Source organism: Homo sapiens, chromosome 3 (genome assembly GCF_000001405.40).
Source record: "Homo sapiens chromosome 3, GRCh38.p14 Primary Assembly".
Taxonomy (NCBI): Eukaryota; Metazoa; Chordata; class Mammalia; order Primates; family Hominidae; genus Homo; species Homo sapiens.
The window spans coordinates 76,520,607-76,539,879 of record NC_000003.12 but is presented as its reverse complement, the minus strand read 5'-3'; the positions used below and the strand labels follow the sequence as shown (position 1 = coordinate 76,539,879).

General features: G+C 38.1%; 1 protein-coding gene across 29 annotated transcripts in view, besides 3 other annotated features; it reads right to left on the bottom strand.

Moving 5' to 3' along the window:
- ROBO2 (roundabout guidance receptor 2) overlaps positions 1–19,273 on the bottom strand; it is a 1,743,290-nt gene that overhangs the window by 1,110,085 nt on the left and 613,932 nt on the right. The window lies entirely within an intron of this gene.
- Positions 1,762–1,931: an enhancer, noted in NCBI's record as "active region_20106". NCBI's record gives its function as "activates an Ori minimal core promoter by ATAC-STARR-seq in GM12878 lymphoblastoid cells {active_cell/tissue: GM12878}" and the evidence as "EXISTENCE:reporter gene assay evidence [ECO:0000049][PMID:35858748]".
- Positions 3,105–3,274: an enhancer, noted in NCBI's record as "experimental_71286 CRE fragment used in MPRA reporter constructs". NCBI's record gives its function as "activates a minimal promoter by MPRAs in K562 erythroleukemia cells, with activity observed for both the introgressed and non-introgressed 3:76585842 or rs139588816 variant alleles {active_cell/tissue: K562}" and the evidence as "EXISTENCE:reporter gene assay evidence [ECO:0000049][PMID:34662402]".
- Position 3,189: a transcriptional cis regulatory region, noted in NCBI's record as "Neanderthal adaptively introgressed variant 3:76585842 (GRCh37/hg19 assembly coordinates) or rs139588816 in the experimental_71286 CRE". NCBI's record gives its function as "modulates activity of the experimental_71286 enhancer by MPRAs in K562 erythroleukemia cells {active_cell/tissue: K562}" and the evidence as "EXISTENCE:reporter gene assay evidence [ECO:0000049][PMID:34662402]".

Here is a 19,273-nt window from a genome sequence, read left to right as displayed (position 1 = left end):
ATGTCTTAGACCAAATGTTCCTCTTTTCTCACCTAGAAAAGCAGTATTCTCTTATCATCTTCTGGATCACTGGTCTGATTACTGACACTCTGTCAGGAAATTTTTGTGGGTTAAGTTTTAATGCTTTCAGCTTTCTGACATTAGAAAGGAGAAAAGCCTCAATAAAGAAGAATGGGAATAGGCAAATCCTCTTTCTGTCTGACCTACTAGTCTGTCTTTATATTTAGACTTCTTTTTTCACAGACTATTTCTAGTAGAATGCCTTTAATTTCACATTTTTGAAGATGGAACAAACCCAGGTAATTTTAGTTTTTTCCAATGGTTTAAATATTTAAACTGTATACTTTGCTACTTAAACAGGATGGATAATACAACTCGAACATTTTTTATCAGGGAAAAAATATGTGAAGATGCCATTTGATTTGTTTATTCTCGAATTTTGTGGCCTACTATCCATGCATGAAACACAATGCAGAATCTTTATTGACAGCGTGCTAGCATTCTTTTTTTTTTTTTTAATTTTACTTAAAGTTTTGGGATACATGTGCTGAACGGGCAGGTGTGTTACATATGTACACATGTGCCATGGTGGTTTGCTGCACCTATCAAGCTGTCCTCCAGGTTTTAAAAGCCACATGCATTACATATTTATCCTAATGCTCTCCCTCCCCTTTCCTCTCATCCCCCGACAGGCCCCAGTGTGTGATGTTCCCCTCCCTGTGTCCATGTGTTCTCATTGTTCAGCTCCCACTTATGAGTGAGAACGTGCAGTGTTTGGTTTTCTGTTCCTGTGTTAGTTTGCTGAGGATGATGGTTTCCAGCTTCATCCATGTCCCTGCAAAGGACGTGAACTCATTGTTTTTTATGGCCACATAGTATTCCATGGTGTATATGTGCCCCATTTTCTTTATCCAGTCTATCATTGTTGAGCATTTGGGTTGGTTCCAAGTCTTTGCTGTTGTAAATAGGACAGCATGCTAGCATTCCACTAGATATATTACAGATATTAAAATGTAAAATGTTTGGTTTTCCAAATACTGCATGATGTCACTTATAAGTGGGAACTAAATACTGGGTACACATGGACATAAAGAAAGGTGGGAACAAAAGACACTCTGGATCACTAGAGAGGGAAGGGAGGGACGGAGGCAAGGCCTGAAAAACTACCTGTTGGGTACTATGCTCAATAACACAGTGACGGGTTTATTTATACATCAAACCTCAGCTTCACACAAGTTCCCTCTGTAGCAATCCTGCACAACATGTACCCCAGTTCTAAAATAAATTTGAAAAAGAAAAAACAATTGGTTTTCACACCAATAGTCCAAGGTGTGAGAGGTTTTATGCATGTACTACTTTAGAAGATAGCAACAGCAGTTAAACAATGGTACGTGATGTAAATACATACCTGCTTTCAAGATGTAAATGATTAATATCCTAACTCAGTGGCACAGGTGGTTAGTTATTAATTCAGAAAAGGAAAAAATAAGTCTGGATCAAAAATTTTAAAGACAACTTCTTTGTAGAAGTTATAATCCTGCTGGACACTGGGAATTGCCTACGTAGAAAAGAGAAGGGAGAGGGACAAATAAATAGAGGAAACTTTTTCTTCTTTGAGTTTGTACACAGTTAAACCAGAATCTTTATTTTTCCATTTTCTGCATACATACACTTGCCCACATGTGTATGAATATGGTGTGTGTGTGTGTGTGTGTGTGTGTGTGTGTGAGTTCTGTCAGGCCTCTGAGCCAAAGCTCAGCCATTATAACCCCTGTGACCTGCACACATATGTCCAGATGGTCTGCAGGAGCCACGAAATCTGGAGCAGCCGAAAAACCACAGAAGAAGTGAAACCCCAGTTCCTGCCTTCACCGATTGACCCTCCATATGACCTTCCACCACTATGACTGGTTCCTGCCCTACCCTAACTGATCAGTTGACCCTGGGACATTCTTCTCCTGGACAGTGAGTCTCATGGTCTCTCCACCATGCACCTTGTGACCCCCTCCCCTGCTGACAACAGATAACCACCTTTGACTGTAACTTTCTACTGCCTACCCGAGCCCTGTAAAGCTGCCCCTCCCCTATCTCCCTTTGCTGACTCTCTTTTCGGACTCAGCCCACTTGCACCCAAGTGAATAAGCAGCCTTGTTGCTCACACAAAGCCTGTGTAGGTGGTCTTCTATACAAACATGAGTGATACTTGGTGCTGAAACCAGGGACAGGGGGACTCCTTCGGGAGACTGGTTCCCTGTCCTCACCCTCTCTCCATGAGGAGATCCACATATGACCTTGGGTCCTCAGACCAGCCCAAGGAACATCTCACCAATTTCAAATCGGGTAAGTGGTCTTTTTCACCCTCTTCTCCAGCCTCTCTCGCTACCCTTCAGTCTCTCTCTCCTTCAATTTCTTCCCCCTTAGCCTGTGTTCTTAAAAAGTTTAAACCTCTTCAACTAACATCTGACCTTAAACCCAAACGTCTTATTTTTCTGCAATACCTTCGGCCCCAATACAAACTTGACAATGGTTGCAAATGGCCAGAAAACGGCACTTTTGATTTCTCCATCCTACAAGACTTAGATAATTTTTGTCGAAAAATTGGCAAATGGTCTGAGGTGCCTTATGTCCAGGTGTTTTTTACACTTTGTTCCCTTCCTAATCTCTGCTCCCAATGCGACTCATCCCAAATCTTTCCTCTTTCTCTCCCATCCATTTCTTCAGTCTCTACCCCAACCTCAGAGTCCTCTGAATCCTCCCTTTTCTGCAGACCCCTCTGACCTCTCTCCCCTTCCACAGACCACTCCTCAGCAGGCTGAATCAAGTCCCAATTCTTCCTCAGCCTCCACTCCCCAACCTTATAATTCTTCTATCACCTCCCTTCCTCACGCTCAGTCTGGCTTACAGTTTCGTTCCACAACTAGCTCTCCCCCACCTGCCCAACAATTTCCTCTTAGAGAGGTGGCTGGAGCTGAGGGCATAGTAAGGATTCATGTACCTTTGTCTCTATCAGACCTTTCCCAAATCAGTCAGCATCTGGGCTCTTTCTCATCAGACCCCACTAAATATATACAGGAATTCCAATGTTTGACTCAGTCCTACAATTTAACCTGGAGTGACTTAATGTCATCCTGACCTCTCCCCTCTCCCCAGATGAGCGGGAAAGAGTTGTTTATACCCTAGCCCAATCTCACACTGACACCTGCCAGCGTCATGAGCCAGACCTTCAAGAAGGCACCAGGGCAGTTCCCCGAGAGGATCCCCGATGGGAATAGCAGACAGGCTCCCAAGGTATAGCTAGGTGAGATTACATGGTCTCTTGCCTAGTTGAAGGGCTGAAAAAGGCAGCATACAAAGCTATCAATTATGACAAGCTTAAAGAAGGTACCCAAGGTAAAGACGAAAACCCAGCCCAGTTCATGGCCCACTTGGTGGCTACCCTTAGACACTTTTCAGCCCTAAACCCTGAAGGGCCAGAAGGCCGTCTTATTCTTAATATGCATTTTATCACCCAGTCAGCTCCTGACATTAGAAAAAAGCTTCACAAATTGGAATCTGGCCCTCAAACCCCACAACAGGAGTAATCAACCTTGCCTTCAAGGTGTTCAACAATAGAGAAGAGTCAGCCAAGTGGCAATGTATTTCTGAGCTGCAACTGCTTGCCTCCGCTGTAAGACAAACCTCAGCCACGCCTTCAGCACAGAAAAACTTCAGAACAACCAAACCACAGCCTCCAGGCATTCCTTCAGGACCTCCTCTCCCAGGACCTTGCCTCAAATGCCACAAAACTGGCCACTGGGCCAAGGAATGCCCGCAGCCCATGATTCCTCCTAAGCCATGTCCCACCTGTGCAGGACCCCACTGGAAATCAGACCACCCAACTAATATTGCAGCCACTTCTAGGGCCCCTGGAGCTCCAGCTCAAAGCTCTCTGGCTGACTCCTTCCCAGATCTCCCCAGTTTAGGGGCTGAAGACACTGCCCAATCACCTCGGAAGCCCCCTGGACCATCATGGATGCTGAGCTTCAGGTAACTCTTATAGTGGAGGGTAAGTCCTTCTCCTTTTCAATTGGTACAGGGGCTACCCACTCCACATTACCTTCTTTCAAGGGCCTGTTTCCATTGCCCCCATAACTGTTGTGGGTATTGTTAGCCAGGCTTCTAAACTTCTTAAAACTCCCCCACTCTGGTGTCAACTTGGACAACATTCTTTTATACACTCTTTTTTAATTATCCCCACCTGCCCAGTTCCCTCATTAGGCCGAGACATTTTAAACAAATTATCTGCTTCCCTGACTATTCCTGGGCTACAGCCACACCTCATTGCTGTCCTTTTGCCCAATTCAAGGCCTCTTTTTCATCCTCCCCTTGTATCTCCTCACCTCAATCTGCAAGTATGGGATACCTCTACTCCTTCCTTGACAACTGATCATGTACCCCTTACCATCCCATTAAAACCTAATCACCCTTACCCCACTCAACGCCAGTATCACATCCCACAGCAGGCTTTGAGAAGACTAAAGCTGTTATCATTCGCCTGTTACAGCATGGCCTTTTAAAGCCTACAAATTCTCCTCACATCTCCCCTATCCTATCCATCCAGAAACCAGACAAGTCCCACAGGCTAGTTCAAGACCTTTGCCTCATAAATCAGATTATCCTTCCCATCCATCCTTTTGTGCCAAACCCCTATAGTCTCCTCTCCTCAATACCCCCTTCCACAACTCATTATTCTGTTAATGACCTTGTCAAAGAAGCCTTCTTTACCAACCCCTTGCATCCCTCCTCCCAGCCTCTTTTCGCCTTTACTTGGACTGACCCTGACATCCACCAGTCCCAGCAACTCACCCAGACTGTCCTACCCCAAGGTTTCAGGGAAAGCCCACACTACTTTGGTCAGGCCCTCTCTCATGACTTACTTTCTTTCTGCCCATCTGCCTCCCACCTTACTCAATATGTTGATGACCTTCTTCTTTACAGCCCATTTCCTTCCCATCATGGAAATCCATCCTTAAAACCATCACCTCTCAATGCTCTGACTGCTTGTCACCAACCCCTAAGGTTCTCTCAGGACTCCTTGCTTTCCTACGCATCAGGCTCTTGGATTTACTCTGACACAAGATTGGCAAATTGACTTTACTCATATACCCCGTGTTCATAAATTTAAGTATCTCCTGGTTTGGGTTGATACACATATACGGGGCCAGTTCCACATGTTTGGCAAGCAGACCAGCATCCAGCACAACATAATGCATTCTGCTGGTTGGTAGAAGGCTTGGGACATTCCTCTCTTTGCCAGCCTCAGCTTAATCCAGGAGACAAAGATTATTTTCCTTACTATCTCTCCTGCATAGGATCTGCAATCAGAACTATGGAACTTCTCCATTCAGACTGCCACTCACACCTATGGTAAATGGGTAATATAATAGATCACTGGCTTAACAACAGGGAATCCTATTCATATGATGGGAAATGGGGACAAAAAGCTTTGGTACGTAAAACATTATTCCTTCCCTGGCCTAAAAACTCATCGCCACCTACATTAAAGCTAACATGCCTGATTACTGTTCTTAGAGAACTTATTTTATTAGGGCAGTTCCAAGCTCAAAAATGTGCTACCTGGCACTTTTTTAGCCACATAAAAATGAGCCCTAGACCTGAAATTTACTAAATTAACTCATTTTAAAATTTTCTTTAAGGTGTCCACACAGTCCCTGGTTACGCTTGAAGCAGTCCTGAGAGACATCGCCCTTACCCCTCCAAAAAAAACTCCCCAGAAGGAATTTATATTCTTTATCTTTTCTTATAACTTTATATTTTATAAATAAAAAGACAGGAATGTTAGGTCTCTGAGCTGAAGCTCAGCCATTATAACCCCTGTGACCTGCACACATATGTCCAGATGGCCTGCAGGAGCCAAGAAATCTGCAGCAGCCGAAAAACCACAAAAGAAGTGAAACCTCAGTTCCTGCCTTCACCGATTGACCCTCCATATGACCTTCCACCACTATGACTCGTTCCTGCCCTACCCTAACTGATCAGTTGACCCTGGGACATTCTTCTCCTGGACAGTGAGTCTCATGGTCTCTCCACCATGCACCTTGTGACCCCCTCCCCTGCTGACAACAGATAACCACCTTTGACTGTAACTTTCCACTGCCTACCCGAGCCCTATAAAGCTGCCCCTCCCCTATCTCCCTTTGCTGACTCTCTTTTCGGACTCAGCCCACTTGCACCCAAGTGAATAAGCAGCCTTGTTGCTCACACAAAGCCTGTGCAGGTGGTCTTCTATACGGACTCGTGTGACAAGCTTGCCTTTCCCTTTTCAATACTTTGTTTCCACTATGCTTATGCCCGGATGATATAGTTCTATTTTTATAATCTTTCAGGTGTAAAATAAAATTCTAATATGATGTGCATCTATCACATGAGCAATTTTTCCTCTGAGATTTAAATAACTGTTGCAGTTTCTCAAAAGAAAAGTACTTTTTAAGAACAACAATTAATTTGAGGCCTATTTTAAAGTACTCCTATTATTCCAAATGGCACAGGTATGCTGAGCAGGGAAGTTGTCTTCACAGAAATAAAAAGGAAGAAAAACAAAACCCCCTTTTGGATTCGCAATGCCTGACAGGCGTTGTGTTTAATCCTCACATCCTAACATGCTGGTATTTCTCTAGACCCATGCCTAAATTTTGTGGCATACACATGGGCTAAAGAGATCTATGGCTCTAAAAAGTTATATTATTTAAAGGCATGCATACATTTTAAAAGCCTGGAAATTCATTATTTAATAGCCTCCCCTCTGATGAAATCCTCTTTTAGGAGATTTTGAATATTTCTTCAAAACATTAGTTAATATAAAACAAGATGAAAGTAACTGGATATCATCCAGATAAATAGGATGGATTATTTTCTTTCTACTAGTATCAAAATTTTCAATAGCTTCTTAGTTTATCAAATATATGTTGTATTTTAAAAAGTGCTACAACTTAATCATTATTTTGAGGAACAAATATAAAACGTGACCCCACTCTTCTCACACTTTATAATGATGTTCATGGGGTAGCATGAGAACAGGTTTCCAGGCTTTCTTCCTCAGGATTATCAATGTAGAACTGTTTCCCTTTTTGCACTGGTTTTATGGGAGCACAGAGCCTTCCTTGCTTAGAACATGCATCTTTTAATGAAAGAGATATATCACTTTTCACATGTCAGTCATGTCACAAAAATTACTGTGAGTTGCTAGAACGGTTGCCTAATTTGAGATGAGGAAAATCACCTGTCACCACTGACACAGAATATAAAGTGGCAAGGTCAAATGGTACATTATACTTATAAGGCAAATTGTCTGTATCATTCTTGAAAAGTTAATATGTTACTGAAAAACTTAAATTCTTATTATTTTGATCATATGAAAGGACAGTTTGAAACATTTACAATCATAATATTTGAAACAAAGGACTTGTTTCCCACTCTCTGATGACAATGGTCAGATTACCAGGGCAACCTCCAAAAGTGTGCATGTCAAGTAAGAGACTGGATGTTTCTAAGGCTGCCGAGGAAATCAGTCATAACTCAACTGGAAAGGTCAGAGTTTTATGCTTTGAGTTTTTCACTAATTCAGAAATCAAATTGTCACTCTTTTCACCAAAAGTGAAGAGTATGAATTCAGCATTCAGCTATTGTATGGAGAAGCTTATTGCAGAGAAGAAAAGGAGAACAGAATGAAAGGTCTAATTGGGAGGAGGAAGGTTGTGGAATAGGACACTCTTGTAGACAAAGATATGTCCTGATTAAGTGAGGCCAGGAGAGGCAGGGCGTAAGAGGAAACAGTACCTTCTACTTACTAAGAGCTCAGGTTCTGGTGTTGAAAAGAAACGGGTTTAACTCCTGCCTAAACTCTTACCAGACATGTCACATTGGGCAGAGTACTTCTTTGATCTTCATTTTCTCATCTAAAAAGTGGGTATTATGATAAACCTGTTTTGGGAGTTGGGGAAGAATTAAATATGATAATGACAGTAAAACGTTCTGCATAGTCCTGGTGCATAAAATACATTCAGTAAATGGTAGGTTTAATGTTTATTCTTAAAACTAAACTTTAGGCATATTGGAAAATTAAGAAAATAGTGTTGTTGTTTTTTCAACAAATAGCATCAGAAGCCTTGATATACTATACAACAACTTCATTGGATTACTGTTGAATTACCAAGAGGACAGAAAAACATTTGCTTAGGGTACCAAAAAAAAAAAAAAAAAGAAACTGTACAAACAAAACAAAACAAAAATCAAAAGAGAAGGAGAAGATCAGAAAGGCTATAGGGCAGTTGTTTTACCTTTTTCATGATGTAAGTTTTATGTCATATTTAAAAATAAAATCATAAGTTAATTAAAAAATATATTCGAGAAGACATAATAATTTAAATATTTATATCTTCTAAAGAATTTGGCTTTGAATGAGATTAGAAGGCAGGGGATATCAAAAGGTATCTATTGAACCTAAAAGAAGAGAAGTTCAAACCAGAGTAAAGACTCATTGCTAGATTCTTAAAGGAAGTGAAGTATGCTGTTATTAGAAGCTCATGCTAAAATATCTATACTATGGTGTAGATGCATTTGGTTCAATGAATTAATGGTGAAAATAGTGGTTTTCATTAAAGTGAACTTTAATTCATTCACAGTAGATTCTTTCATTACTTTTATAATGTCTCAACTTAGGAAGTTCTTGATATATACTTCTTTCTCTCTGAGGTCGGACAAAAAACAAATAAATGTCCTATCTTATTTTCAGTAGAATTTTATGACTTTGCTTCAAAAACCTCAAAATCTATTGAGAGGCAAAACTTTATGCATCAGCACTTTTTATATCTTAGTGTAACTGAAGTTATAAGCTTCTGCAATGAAGAAGGAGTAGCACATACATGTGGGGGATACAAGCGTGGGAAGTAGAGACTTTTCCGATAAAGGAGGCTGGCAGCACTCACGAAGGGAAATGAAGGTAAAGAGAGAAGTTGAGGGTGTTTTACAATAACACCAGAAGCCAGCCTTGTTACGGTCTTTATTGATGTAGCAGGATAATCTTTTTTGAAATAGTATCGGCTGTGTATTTTATTCCCCCAAATTATAATTTTCCCAAACTCTCAACCTTCCAAAGTTTGTGCACACATTTCACTGGAGGCAGAGTTGAAGGAGCATAGAAGAAAAGAAGTCAAAGTGAGCTTAACTGATTAAAATAGGGCTTTGCATATTTCCAATCTAAGATCACTTTCACTTGCGAGAGCTAAGTTACTGAGACGAGACGGGGTTTTTGGATGTTCAATCTCTACGTAGGTCAACCAAAGAATAAATTATGACAGAGAACTAGGAAAGAAGGCATGGTATGATATAGGATGTTGTCATCACACAGGAGGGAGAACATAGTTTTCTGTTCTGAGCTGGAGATGCGGGAGCAATTCGGAGGAACACTACTGGGATTGAGCTACTGCCTGTCTGCCTGGTAATAGAGTCAGTGTCTCCAAATTCCAAGGCCTACATCAAGGCAGGGAAGTCTGAGTGAGAACTTAAAATGAGACAAATCAGGAGAATCCAAAATCATGTGTGGCTTCTGTTCCTTTTCCAGCTGGGAGTCCAGGGGGAAATTACTTTGTAAGAAATCCTACATCTTTAAAGAATCGCCACCAGCACTGACATGTAGCCCTGTGTACACGCTGGGTAAGCGGTAGTCGTGATGACCAAAGTAAGGTAGACATGCAGGTGCAGGCCTGTTGAGGCAGAAAGAGGGCCCTGGAATGGCGTTTCCAGTTCATCTGTGGCCAGAAAGTGGCATGTGGGAAATCTAGATGAGAGAGTGTCTGCCCAAGTGCTAAAAGGACACAGAATAGAAGGTCCTAGGATCAGGAGAGGAGAGAGGAAGTGAGCAGATCTTACATAGGGAGGCCAAAGCAGGGATCACAGACCAGTTACATCAACAGTGGATACTAGCAATAATCTGAAAATTATGGAAATAAGCCACCTCCACATATCTTACCACCATGGTACTAAGTCAATCTTCCCTATGTTAAAATGCTGCAAGGGAGAATAGAAGAGGGAGAAGGGGAATAAGATTTGAACGGACGGATTTAACTGAAAGACAACATGCTTTACTCTAGAAACCCACTGATATCTTAAATTATCAAGATCAAGTTTTTTCTGTCCATTAGTAGTATGAATGGGAAGTTGACTAATTGTATAGAAAAGAAAATAATTTTAATTATAAATAATAATAACAAACATCATCTCATTGAATACCCATTTCCATCATAATTCACACATTTTGGAAACAAAAGGAATCTCATTTTTATTTCACAATATGCCACAGTGCAGATCTTTCTCAGTGCAGCTTAGATCTGTGTATATTGTTATTCTTATTGTCATCATTATTATTGTTATCTTGTTTTTAGAAAGAGAAGTTGAGAAAAGGAAAAGTGTACATGAATACCATCATTGCCTCTCACTTAACCACAGCTGCAGGCAGGGGACCCAAAAAAAATACTCCAATCTGGCCTGGAATACATGCAGAGCAATGTACATGCAGGCACACTCTTGCCTTAGCTCTAGGAGACTTGCCATTCCTTTTGTCTGATGTGATTTTCCACAAGATAGCTCTATGGCTCTTTTGCTGTCTATCTTTGGTAAAAGCTTTTATGAATCCTTTCCTGACCATCTTATCTAAAACTAATAGTCACCTGTTATTCTCTTGTCTGTTTTATTTTCTACATAACATGCTGTCTTTCAGAAGAGCTGTCAACAGTTTTGTCTTTCTCATTCTCTCTTGAACCCATTTCAGTCAGGGTTTTTTCTCACCACCACACTCTATAAAAACTGCTCTTATCAAGGTCACCAGTGAACTTCATGTTGTAAATTCACTGCTAATTCTCCCACCTCTTTCTACTTGGCCTATCAGAATATGAGACTGTGGACCTTTCCTTGAAATGCTTTTTTCGTTTCGCTTCAAGGACACTGCACTTTGCATTTTGCCTCTACCTGCTGCATCTTAGTATCTCCAGTTGTTTCTTCTCATTTCCGTAATCTGTAAAAGTAGAAATGCCCTAGGCTTCAGTCCTAGGAACTCTTATATTTTCTCTCCTCCTTCCCCTGGTGATCACATCTGGTCTCGTAGATTTAAATACCATCTATATGCTAATGAGAAACCTACATATGCAGCCTAACCTGTCTCTTGAACTCCAGAATTTCTAACTATCTGCTTGATTTTTCCAGTTGGATGTCCAGTAGGTGTCTTACCTTTAACAAGTCCAATTCTGAGCTCTTTATCTTTCCTAGCTAATCTCTTCTTGCAGCTTGCTCAACTCAGTTGTCAACTAATTCCTGCCAGTTGTTCAGGCAAACCACTTGGAGACATCCTTGATTCCTGTTTCTCTCAGACATCACATTTAATCGTCAGGAGGGTCTATTATATATATTCAAAATATTCATTATCTAACCACTTCCTACTACTATCAATTCTACCCACCTTCTCCAAGGCACTGTCATCTTCCCTGGGTTCTTGTAATTGTTCCTAAATGTGACCTCCACCAGCTCTTGCCTGTCTGTACATCTCACGCTGAACCTCAGTCACAGGGCTCCCATTAAAGCTAGTGACATTAGGTCATTCCTCTGCTCAAAAGTTTCTCATTAATTGTGCAGTAAAAATGAGGCCTTGGGTTTGCTAACCTATTTCCAGTGACTTGGACAGTCAGTGCCTGCACTTGGTAGAAAGTCACTAAATATTTGTTGTATGAGTTAAGAATGAAGAAATAAAATTTCATATTATTATTCAAAGTAAGAGCTAAGGTCCTTATGGTGAGCTATGAGGCTTTAACATTCTGCACCCCACACCCCCATTTCACCTCTACCCTCTTTCCTGCTTCCTCCTTCTGGCTAGACAGGGTATTCCCCAAATCTGACAGGCACACTCTTGCCTTAGCACTAGAAGACTTGCCATTCCTTTTGTCTGACATGATTTTCCAAAAGATAGCTCTATGGCTCTTTTGCTGTCTGTCTTTGGTAAAAGCTTTTATGAATCCTTTCCTGACCATCTTATCTAAAACTAATACTCACCTGTTACTCTGTTTTCTGCTTTATTTTCTACATAACATTTATCATTATATAATGTGCTATATGTTTTCCTTATTTTTAAATAAAATCTCCTCCCCAAATTCTTGAATATAAATGTCAGTGGGTATTTTTTTAAAAATCTCATTTGTTTATTTATTTTCTCTTAATGCCTAAAAAAGTAGTATCTGGCATATAGTAGGCACTCACAAAGCTTGTGTTTATATAATGAGTTAATCAAGCCAAATAATATGAAGAAGGCCTGGTTTGGGTCACTGAGGAGCAGCAGATTGAAAAGAATAAATTAGAAAGTTTGCAATATGAAATAGAATTAAATATGCTCAGATATTACTCCTAATATTGCCACTAATGGACTGTATCATCTTAAAGTATTTCTTGTACTTGAAAAATGTCAATGGCCTCATCTTCAGATAAAAATTAAGATAATCCATAAGATCCCTTGCACTTCTGACTTTTTAAAAAAATTAGTGATAGATTTTATAGTCTATTCTTTTGTCCCATTTAAGAAAACAGATATTTGTATAATTATTTAAGTCTTATGTATTTTTATCACTCTGGCTTTTGTGAGGATTACGTGCAATATACCATTTTTTCAAGCCTTTTTTTTCTCCAAAATGTAAACAATTACAAAAGAGAAATTTATAAATTTTGCTGTTAAACTTTCCAAAGTAATGATGACATGAAGTAGAAAAATAAAATTCCACACACACACATACAGCTGAAATTTATCAGAAAAAATATATAAAGCAATTTCCTTTTCCAGGCATTTTTCTCCCAGCTGGTTTAACAACATACATCATTGTGGCTTCTAAATTTTAATTTACAAGGAACAAATATGGTAGTTTTATAGGCTTCTGACCATTGCAAAATCACTGATTGCAAGGCCTGTCTCCTCAGAAACTAATCAAAAGGTGACATATTCTGTTAACTTCCCATTATACATTCATAACATCATCTTTCAATTCAGTGTCATAAAGAATTTATGTAGGACATTAATCATGCAAGACCACTAAATTGTTCTCATTTCAGTGATAATTGTTTACTCCTATAAATGGTTTGTGTTGAGTTGCAACAATTCAGCTGAATAAAATATATCTTTACCACCCTGCATTGGGAGAGAAAATTAACCTATAGATAGAAGAACCAAACTGAATATATAATATGATTATTAGAAAAAAACTAAAATTTTATAGCACTCTTCTCTTTTCAGTGACAAGAGCCAATGACATTAGGATAATTCTGTCACCTTCAATAAAATGAATCTTGAAAAACAAAATTAAACAAAACAACAAAATCATATAGAATCAACAAACATGTAAAAACAAACCCTGTCTAATATCTATATGACATTGTTGACCCTGAAATCAGGTAAAATATCTTGTAAATGAAACATACTACACCTTGCTAGTCAATGAAGCTAAACTTAATTAAAGGGGTGTCAATCATTTGCTGAGAACAAAAGAAAACAAAACCTACTCTTAAGGTTATTCAGTATGGCCTTGTGAAATGTGCATGAGAACTGTAAGTCTTATGATCTGACTTTAACCCTGGCCCCGCTATGCTTCTGTAACCTTAAGGTTGATTCCCAAACTTCCCTTGTCTCAGTTTTCTCATCTGTAAAATGAACGAGCTGGACTCCATCATCTTGTAGGTTTGTCCTAACACCAACATTTTATAAGTCTATGTGGGAACTCAGCTAATCAAGACTTGTTTTTTTTTCTTTAAATCAACGATTTGAATGATTTGTCATCTGTTTTTAGATCTCTCCACTGCCTGCTGAATAAGAATAGGATCAATTTGAGACAGCCCTTTCAGCCCAAGGGTGCCATAACTAATGGCACTGTCTGTTTCTGCTTTCTAAATGGAATCCTACTATATATATTTTTTTCTGCGGTAAAGTGTCTACTTTATGAGCATAATAAATAGCAATTGCCCTTTAATGGCAACTTTAGCTGTGACCATTATGGCACAATTTAAGTGCTTAAAAACAATAATGGGAGTGATACAATGTTAATTATACTATGACTATGAAGGCTGTATACAAGAACTCCTGCAAAATTAAGTAAAACCCTGGCTAATTCTAATTACAGTCTGTCTAGAGGAGATAAGAGAAATTAAGCACCTCTTTTTTGAGTGCGTTCCTAATGTAACAGCACAATTTGGCCACATTGGTTGAGAAAACATTTCAAGTGACTCAGAAAGTAGGATTCTGAAATAAAAGAATTTTTTTCAGTTTAAATAAGAAAGGAAAGAAGATGAATTACTTACACAGAAAATGCATCTTTACTTGAAACAATGCTTACGTTCTTGCCTTTAAGCCTAAGGTAACCCACTTTTAAAGAGCTATTCATTAAACTGTCAGAGACAAAATTATATCATGGGATTTTTCCTTATTTTAAAATGTGTTTTATAAGCTATTTAGAAGAAATATATTTAAAACATAAAACCAAGAAGATCATCCTTCATCTTATCATCTATGGAAAAATTGAAAGCCAATTTTTCAATATTTATTTCAATTATTTTTTATTCTTTCCAAAATGTCTATCACTTACTCTCTTTCCTCTTTTTCTTTCTACCATTTATTGAATGCCTTCTATGTACTAGAAGCTCTATGTACTAGAGCTAGATATTTTAAAAAATGGGTAAAATAATTTTGCTGCCCTTAAGGGGTTTAGAGTCTAACAGAGAAAAGCAAACCTATAAAAGCAAAACAACGGTTTTGTTTACACCTCAGTATCTGTTGTGTATGTTTCTTTCTTTGTCTTCCAGTGTAATTTTTTTCTTTGAATTCTCTTGCTTTCCTTATTGTAAATTGCTTTGCATAGATCTCTAACTCATGGGATCTTTATAAATCCAATGTGAGGCGTAGAAATCATTTATTTGATGTATCTGATTTTACTTATTTTTTTTTTTTTTTTTTTTTTTTTTTTTTTTTTTTTTTTAGGAATAAGAGGGTCATAGGTTTTTAAGAAAACCCCCTGCTGGAAAGCCTGGCATATTTCAAAGTGCTACCATTTGAAAAGTGAGGGAAACAACATTTAATAAATAATGAAAACAATTGCCTGGCAGTCTACAATTTCCAATACATACATTGTTTTAATGGATCATAAACTAAACACAGTAGTATAAGGATAAGAGAAATCAACTCATTTTTAATAAATAAAAATGATAACTGATGGAAATCATTGAATTCCATTGAAAAGCGTCCCATAATCTCTAAATCATAGGTATTAGGAGAGTAACCCAAACCATTATAGTTAAGTATCTGGGTGCTTAAAAATTGTCGCCCTCACCTTAAAGCATTTATTATCTATAAGGGACCTTCTAATTTGTCAGTATATCTGGATTTAAGTGACCCATAGGGCATATATCAAATACCTGCCTTGGGAGGTTATTTGTCATTTTAGCAGTGCCACTTTTACAGCATTAGAGTAGTTTCAATGACATTTAATCTGTGCTCCCTTTGAGCAATAATCATATCACTACTCTTTAGTAAATGTTTCCAAATAGAGGATATTTTGTGCACTCTATTTTTATAATATATGTAGATCCTCAGCCTCACCTGCTGCCCAGTCAAATGAAACATAAACAGGATTTGTACACAAATTCACAAGTTCATTAACATCTGTTATGATCATTTTCTAAAATTTGTGTTGCTTATGTATTAAAAGTTAAAATAGTATTATTAAGACTTCAAACTTGGAGATAACTTTATTTTCTTCAGATTTTTCTGAGATTTTTCTCTGATATGTGAAGACACCACACACACACACACACACACATACACACACACACACAGCATATTCACTTACCACTTCCTCCCCATTTTCATTCACTTGAAATCATTGTTTTCCAGATTGTTTCTTCCCATTAATAAACAATTATTTTTGCCATTTGCCTCATCTTTCCCATATTAAAATACATCATTGCAATCATTCATCTTATATTTTCAGCCTCTTCCCTAATAACTATAGCATTTACTATTTAGCATTGCCAGCGTTTCTCACGGAGGTTGTTTATCCTTCTATTAAGTTGTTATTCAGTAGGAGCCTTCTTCCCATCACCAGAAAAGAGATAATAAAAATAAACAACTTAGAGAAAGTATGAAGACTGAAAGAAATGTGAGATAATGAGAGAATGTGGAAGCTGTACATCTGGTGTGTTGGAGAGTGAAAAACCATAGTCATGAGCTCTATACAGAAGAGGAATACTACATCAGAGAAGTTTGAGATGCAGCTGTGGAGATGGCAGGTGGCTGACACTAACTCTCTGTGTGAGCTTGGGCTAGTTACTAAGCTTATCTAGCACATTTCTAAAACAAAGAGTTTAGTACCTTTGCAAGGTATTTCCAGACGAAGGTACAAAGGAAAAAGGCAGAAAATTCAAGACATGTCCAAGTAACAGAAGGAAGGTAAAATGAGATAAAATTAAAGACAGAATGGGAAAAGTCGATTAAAAGCCTGGACTTTATTCTGTAAGTGACTAGTCATCCTCAAAAATCCACACTACAAATAAAATTATTAATCATTTAGTCTTCTCCTTTAGACAGGCATATCACACACACCAAAAATGGGACAATTTTGGTAGAACAAGTACATTATTATCTCCCAAGCTTCTGTAAAGACTAAACAAATTTACGGTATTTGGAGCTGGCCCTCTTTAGAGGAAAAAGGACCAAAATTTTCCACTTGCAGTACTAGCTGTAGGTTAGGTCTAGAATATATATATAATATATACATATATAAAATATATTATATATTTTATATGTATAAAGTTATATATAAAACTTTAAATAATTATATAATCATAATAAAAATTATGTAATATATACAGCTATCTATATCTATCTCTGTATATACAAATCATCACATATAAGATAAACTAATATGGAAATGAGGGGGATATGACCTCTAGCCACCATTTGATGATACTTAGTTTAGTTCATTTCAGGATAAAATTGGAGGCAGAGATTTAGGGCAAGAGAGAAACAATTGATAATCAATTCTTGCAGCTCACTAGTTTTACTTATGCTAATAAGTAGTATAGTGAATGTAGGATAGACAGATGAATGGCCATAGCAAAACGGAGATAAATCATTCAGTGGAATCTTAGTTCGATATTCCAGGAAGGTGAATTGTTTGTCTGAACTCATAGTTTCCTTTGGATTGTTGGATTAAGGGTGATTTTTAACTTATTTCTGTACTTAAAAACACCGTGTAGTTCTCCATGAATTTAGAACTTATTTATAAAGAAGAAAAGAACTTGTCTGTTTGTATTTTCAAACTTGACATTTTACTTTTCAAATTAATTTTTACAAATACTGCCTTGATTCTCATTTTTGGTCAGCTGTATTTTATTGGATTGATGAAGAAAGATGGAGTGACAGACAGACACATGGGCACACAGTTGGAGTTGGGAAATAAGCAGTGGGGCGAATAATCCCAAAACATAGGGTAATTGCAAGGAAAATTTCATTTGGCTCTTGAATACACACAATGAGTTGTAGAGAATAGATTTACTTCTCTAATTACTCTATGTTGCACTTGGGCCAATGCTGAAATGATTTTACATTCCCTGGGCATATACCAACTGTTAGGGTGAGGAGGGGCCCATAAACATACTGGATACAGAGGGAAAAACATTTTTTTGCATACCGCCCACAATGCAAATGCTATTCTTACAGCGTTGTCTGTATTATTACCAAACTAGTCAATTTCTTTAATTTAGATGAAGGATTACACAAAATTCTTGAAAAACAAAAACATAAATCAAGTTGATTTATTTATTCTGATTTGATCACTCAAACAGCTAACTTCAAGCCACATATAGATGCACATATAGTCAGAGTGAAATATATTGCCACGTGGCTTATAAACATTGATCACCTTTCCTAGTTTATATATAAAAAACTTGAAATTGAGTTATATTTAATATACAAATACCATATTTATAATAACTCTATAAGAATAATACAAACTTAGAAAGAACATATACTTCTGAAGGTCAATTCCAAAAAGAAGTGCAGACAAGGCAAGGAACAAAAGAAAATACATATATTAAGCTAGAGTTTTCCAGCCTTTACTTTGCAATGAATATGGTGGTTCTCTATAGAGACTTCACCATTATTTAACCCATATTTAACAGAACAATATAGGCATTGCTGTTTTTCCACTGAGAAAGTTGAGGCTTGCAGAGTTTGATGAGCTTATCTTAAACATGATATTTAGTAAATAAAATATTTCAAATTTGGACCCAGATAAATCTGTTTTCAAAACTTGCTTCCCCTATTCCTGCCCTACCTCCCGCATCTCTGCTGTTCTCCTTGGGCCTTGTCAATGGTTGGCAACAATGACTACCTGGAATGACCTACTGACTAGGACCTCCACTGGAATCACACCATGCAGAGAGCAATTGTTGTTGGGCCAGGCGCGGTGGCTCATGCCTGTAATCCCAGCACTTTGGGAGGCCAAGGCGGGCGGATCACTTGGGTCTAGGAGTTTGAGACCAGCTTGGCCAACATGGCAAATCCCCATCTGTACTAAAAATACAAAAATTAGCCAAGCGTGGTGACGCATGCCTGTAGTCCCAACTACTTGGTAGGCTGAGGTGGGAGAATTGCTTGAACCCGAAAGGCAAAGGTTGCGGTGAGTTGAGAGCACACCGCTGCACTCCAGCCTGAATGACAGAGGGAGACCCTGTCAAAAAAAAAAAAAAAAAAAAAAAGAAGCAATTTTTGTTGCAACTGTTTTTTCATATCAAACTTCTGGACAAATAATATGAGAGGCACCTTTAAGAAAAAAATAGTAATAAATGAAGAAGAGAATTCAATGTTTTCTATAGTATACTGGGAACTCACTCTATCTAAGAGACCGTACAGTCCAGATATGAAAGGTTACATTCTGAAGCCTGACGCTAAAATCAGAAAGGCCCTTTTTAAAATTCAAAAGTGCTTTTTAAATGTTTTAAAATGTTTGTTTTGTTTTGTTTTGTTTTGTCAAGATGTGGACTACTAGCATCCTATAATGTAGAGGTTTCTTGACATTATTTGATTTATGCAAATTTTGCATTTAGAAAGCAGAGATTGATGAGAATTAGAGGCTCCAAGGTCCCACAGTGGTATAGACCAGGACTAAAAGATTGGTCACATTATTGATTTGGACCT